At 37.2% G+C, this 6,243-nt stretch overlaps 1 annotated feature.

Moving 5' to 3' along the window:
- Positions 3,944–4,445: an enhancer, noted in NCBI's record as "NANOG hESC enhancer chr8:116088942-116089443 (GRCh37/hg19 assembly coordinates)". NCBI's record gives its function as "activates a minimal SCP1, AML or CMV promoter by ChIP-STARR-seq in naive H9 embryonic stem cells {active_cell/tissue: H9 hESC(naive)}" and the evidence as "EXISTENCE:reporter gene assay evidence [ECO:0000049][PMID:30033119]".

Genomic DNA, 6,243 nt, shown 5'->3' on the forward strand with positions numbered 1-6,243 from the left:
AACAGCTGTAGTTATACCCATGGCCATGTGTAGTAGACAGAATTCCAAAATGGCTCCCAGGATTCTTGTCTTTGGGGGCACATTCCCTGGTATAATAGCCTCCTATTGAGTCTTAGCCAGATTTGTGGATATAATGGGATATCCCTACCATGACTATGTTGCATCATAATGCTGAAGATGTAATTAAATTTCCAAATCAGTTGACTCTTAATTAAACAAAAGGAAGATTATTCTATGTGATCCTGTTAATCAGATTACCACCGTGACAGTTAATATTGAGTGCAAACTTGGTTGGATTGAAAGATGCAAAGTATTGATCCTGGGTGTGTCTGTGAGGGTGTTGCCAAAGGAGATTAACATTTGAGTCAGTGGACTGGGAGAGGCAGAACCACCCTCAATCTGTGTGGGCACCATCTAATCAGCTGCCAGCTCGGCTACAATAAAGCAGGCAGGAGAAGATGGAAGAGCAGACTTGCTGAGTCTTCTGGCCTTCATCTTTCTCCTGTGCTGGATGCTTTCTGCCCTCAAACATCAGACTCCGTGTTCTTCAGCTTTCGGACTCTTGGACTCATGCCAGTGATTTGCCCAAGGCTCTTGGGCCTTCGACAACAGACTGAAGGCTGCGCTGTCGGCTTCCCTACTTTTGAGATTTTAGGACTTGGACTGGCTTTCTTGCTCCTCAGCTTGCAGACGGCCTATTTTGGGACTTCGCTTGTGATTGTGTGAGTCAATACTCCTTAATTAACTCCACTTCATATATACATCTACCCTATTAGTTCTGTCCCTCTAGATAACCCTGACTAATACAGCCACTTAAAAGAAAAATACACAAAGCACTAGCAGACACTCTCCTGTTCTGTTGTCCTTGAAGAAGCAAACTACCTGTTACAGAGTGGGCTGCATGGCAGGAAATTCTAGGTCCCCCTAGGAGCTGACAGCCTCAATCTTACAACCACAAGGAACTGAAATTTGCCAACAATCTGAATAAGCTTAGAAGAGAATCTGAGCTCCAAAGAGAGTGCAAGTTGGCAGACATCTTGATTTTGACTTAATAAGACAGTGAGCAGAGAATTCAGCTCACTGTCTTATTCAAGACAGTGAATAGTGAATTAACTCCAAGTTAATAGGTTGTGATATTTAAAGACCTTCAATGTGAAATGCACCGTACATTCCAATGGAATCAATACAAACTGTGTTATTTTTGCACTGATATTCAGGCTACGCAGTGCCTGAACCTCCAACTTACAGAAACTGTAAGATAATAGTACTGTTTAAGGAGCTAAATTTGTAATAATTTGTTATGCAATAATTGAAATTTAATACAACATACATAGGAGAAAATACATAATTCAAAATGGATTTCACAATGCTTCATTTCAAGATAATTTTCTTAACTGCTTATTAGTCTTTTTTATGTGCCTTCTCATTTGATCCCAGCTGAGAGTGCTGTTTTTAAGCACTTCCTGTCTTCCCCAAAGTAATGTGCTGCTAGCTATACCTGCTACTGAAATAAGCGGCTAGCCATGTCACAGAGAAGAAAGGGAGTCTTAACTCCAGTGAAATCTACTGAGAGAAGAGAAGAGCAAGCCAGCCTTGAATATTACCACAGGCTTACTTCTCTGAGATTTCAGAGTCTATGTGCTAATCAGTCTTTGTCTTTCATCACCCAGACACAAATACTATGAATTCAATAAGCCAGTGGTCTCAAAATGATTTGGGCATATCTATATACTTACTGGAAAGAGTTTCTCTTTTACAGGAATTTCTTAACTTGGAGGAAATTATTCCTCTCTAATAAAACTTTTTTCAACTGCAAATATTGGTGCCTAACCTTCTTTAGTATAAGCTGGAGACTTAAGCTAAATATACTTGATTATTTATTCTATATCTGCTTGTGCTGAGTAGACTGAAAAATTATTCTTATCCTAAGTCTTGGCCAGTTACAATTAATTGCTTTGCTTACACAACTGAACACAACTCCAAGTTAATAGGTTGTGATATTTAAAGATCTTCAACGTGAAATGCACCATACATTCCAATGGAATCAATACAAACTGTGTTATTTTTGCACTGATATTAAACAATCATTCCATTCCACTGTTGATAATCTTTCAATAATTCTCATTATTCAAACAGGGTTCCCCAATACAGTAGCTATTAGTTACATGTGGCTATTTAAATCTAAATTTAACCTAAGCCAAAAAATAATTAATTGCCTCCATCTTACTAGCCACATTTCAACTGTACAATAACCACATGTGGTTAGTGGCTACCATAGCACACAGTGCAGATTATAGAATATTTCAGTCCTCTCAGAAAGTTCTATTGAACAATGCTGAATGAAGCCATATATTCTCAAGCATTTATATTAAAGCCTTTCATAGTTTTGCCTCTTCTGTGTTTTTAAAACATAGTTCCCTCTTTCTGCCACATTTAGCCAGCGCTCCAACCATTCTAAATCACTTGTCTTTTATAAATCAGATATTAAGGAAATTTTGTATGTGTCATTCTCATGCTCATTAATATCATTCAATCCTTTTCCCACCCGATGAATTCCTTCTAATTCTTTAATACTCTGCTCCAGTTTCATCTCCTGTGAAATACCTTTCCCGATATCCTCAAGCACAAATAAGCATTTCCTCTATGCTCCCATGATTCGATTGTCCTATTTTAAACCATGGGTCATATAGGTTTGTCTTATTAGAGATTGTGAGCCTCTAGAGGAAAGGGGCCTTGTTTCTTTTTTCTTTTCATATTCAAATCCCCCCATTCCAGGTGTAATAGGCACTAAATACTAATTAATCTATCCATTCATGCATTTATTTTCCTCATATTATTGATTGACATTAGAATGATAACTTTATTTACTACTTACATACAGAAACCACAACTCCATGTTACCAGTCGGAAGTTGACCATATAAGATGGCAGCTATAGTAAAAAGAAGAAGAGAATAAGAAGCTGTCTTAAATAAAAAGTCTGGCTTGGCAGATAGTGTAATATGTTACAAACTTACTAAATAAGAAGTTAGAGTTATCTTTCTTGAAACCTCATAAAGTCAGATGAGGTTACCCTAGAACTGTCATGAAGAAAGTAATACAAAAGGTAGAAAACTGAATATGAGTATCACATGTATGAATATGTATATATGTGAATATGTGCACTGTATGTATAAATATTTATGTATATATTTATATATCTGTGTGTATATATATGTGTATATATATGCATACACATATATGTGTATATATATGCATACACATATATGTGTATATATATGCATACACATATATGTGTATATATATGTGTGTGCATATGCATACACATATATGTGTATATATATGTATACATACACATACAAACACATTTTTTATAGTTCCATGGTTCTTGGCTTCCAGAGAAAGTGATAGGTAGTCAGAAAGTTCAAGGAGGCTGCTGAGTTATCCTTGATAACTTGATGGATCTGGGGAGAGCACAGCTTTCCAGTTCATTGTAATTCCATCACTATATAGGTAACCAGCCTGAATTTATAATATATTCATTTGAACATTTTCTTAAATTCTGATTACACAATTCTCCCTTAAGTTCTAATTCCAGAAAGTGGTTAATTGAAAAGAAACAAAATAAACTCTAAGATGTGCTATTTGTAAAAGCTGCACTTAGAGCTATGAATAAAAATATTGTTTCACTGTCTAGCTGTGAGTCATAGTTTTTGTTTGTTTGTTTTGGTAGCCTTTAAAAAAAATCAAAATGCTCTAGTAGCTTCATCTGGCAAAAACAGCAGAGCACTACAGATTTTATTCTAGCTGCCTGCCATCAGTCACAGATCTGGAAAGGCCCTCAGGCACACAAGACCCTCTGAGTGACGCAGAAGAGTCCTTTTCAAGGGTCTTGGAATATGCAATCACTTGGCTGCCATCAAATATTTCTAGAGGAAAGGAATCCTCAAGTCCAATAGACCAGAGGGTCTTCTGGCTCTGCCAAGAAGAGTGACAGAGGCTGTAAAACTGTCTGCTCTCCTCCTCTGCTAAATGTCTTGCCAGAAATCACACAGACTCAGAGCTGTTGAAAATACGGCTGTTTCATTTCAAACTGCACCACGCAAGGATGCTGCTTCCTACTCTCTTCCGCCATCTACTGGAGCTTATTCAAAATACTGATCTAGTTAACAGCTAGAAAAGTTACATTCCAGAGTACCTTCCGTTTCCCTGTTATTTCTCCTTGAAGTTTTTATCCTCAAGGAGCAAAGAGTCTGACTGTCAGCAGTTTGAATTTTTTTGAAGAATATTTTTTAAAGAAAAAAGGAGCCATGGACAAGTAAAACATAGTTGATTCTGAACACCATATCTATTTTTTGAGCTTCTCCTCTAGAATAAAGTTTGTACTGCTTTTTCCAGAGCATTCCACCTTTTCTGCATTTACCTTGTAATGTGTGGTGATTGAATCAGTAACTTGCAATAGAGGAACAGATTCTGGATTTGAAGTCAGATTATTAAAATTCAGTTCTGACCTGTATGCCGTGATGTCAGAGATTTGCCAGTATTCTTAAAATATTGAGAGCAAATGCTCTTATATATGGGATTTTTGTGAAAAACTCTGCTGTGGAAAAAGAGGTATGCCAATATATCTATAATAGCGCAAATAATGGGACTCCCACCATCAGTTCTGACCCAGACCTCTCTTTCCTGTTTGCCTCTTCAACTTGCCTTTGACCTTCTTTTTAAAAAGATGTTAAGGCCGGGCACGGTGGCTCACGCCTGTAATCCCAGCACTTTGGGAGGCCGAGGCGGGCGGATCACAAGGTCAGGAGTTCAAGACCATCCTGGACAACATGGTAAAACCCGTCTCTACTAAAAATAGGAAAATTAGCTGGGTGTGGTGGTGTGCGCCTGTAATGCCCAGCTACTCGGGAGGCTGAGACAGGAGAATCTCTTGAACCCAGGAGGTGGAGGTTGCACTGAGCTGAGATTGTGCCACTGCACTCCAGCCTGGGCGACAGAGCAAGACTCTGTTTCAGGAAAAAGAAATTTTTTAATAGACTTTTTATCTTTTAGAGCAGTTTTAGGTTTCCAGAAAAATTGAACAGAAAGTACAGAAAGTTTCTAAATACATTTGTTACAATTAATAAACTAATATTGATGCAATATTATTAACTAAAGTCCATCATTATATTAGGGTTTACTCTTACTGTTGTACAATTTTATGGATTTTGACAAATATATATACTATCATATATCCACCATTACAGTATCATAAAAATATTTTCACTGCCCTAAAATCCCCTTGTGTTCCACTTAATCATACTGCACCATAACCACCTCAACCAATAACCGATGATTTTTTCACTGTCTCTATAGGTTCGCCTTTTCCAGAATGTCATTTCATTGGAATCATACAATATGCAGCCTTTTCAGACTAATTTTTCCATTTGGCAATGTACATTTAAGGCACTATTGCCTTTTTGTAACTTGATAGCTTATTTCCTTTTATCACTGAATACATATTCCATTATGTGGATGTGCCATGGTTTGCTTATCCACCTATCTTGGGTTGCTTCCGATTTTGGTCAATTACGAATAAAGTTGCTATAAATATTCGATTGCAGGTTTTCATGTTGACATAAGTTTTCACTCACTTGAGCATATACCTAGAAGCACAATTGCTAGATAGTATGTAAGGCTGTTTATCTTTGTAAGAAACTTCCAAATTTTCTTCCAAAGTGGTTGTAGTACTGGCAACAAATCAGAGTTTCTGTTGCTCTACATCCTTATCAGCATTTGATACTGTAAATGTCTTGGATTTTAGCCATTCTAATAGGTGTGTAGAAACTTATTTTCACTCCCTCTTCGAATGGCTCTCAGAGCTCCACTGTGATCTTTCCATTGCTGACTGGCCTCAAGGCCCTTGTAAAACTAGGAACATCTTAATGAAAGTATCCACCTTTGTTCCTCTGTCTCCAGTAATCACAAGGCTTGGCATGTAGAGGGTTCCAAAATTGAATGTGATCTTCTGACTACAATTGTTTTTTCTTAACTGTCCTTGGAATCAGTCTCTTTCCAGCCACCTTATTCTGAACACTTCATCCTGTGGCTGTGTGACCTTAGGCAAGTCACATAATCTCCCTAAATATCTATTTACTTATCTAAAAAAAGAATCTTCAATAATCTTTATGACAATCTTAAAGATTTTGGTATACATTGGTAAAATATGAAGCACTCTATATGATGTAAAGCACTATATAAA

The sequence above is a fragment of the Homo sapiens genome, chromosome 8 (assembly GCF_000001405.40).
Source record: "Homo sapiens chromosome 8, GRCh38.p14 Primary Assembly".
NCBI classification, from domain to species: Eukaryota; Metazoa; Chordata; class Mammalia; order Primates; family Hominidae; genus Homo; species Homo sapiens.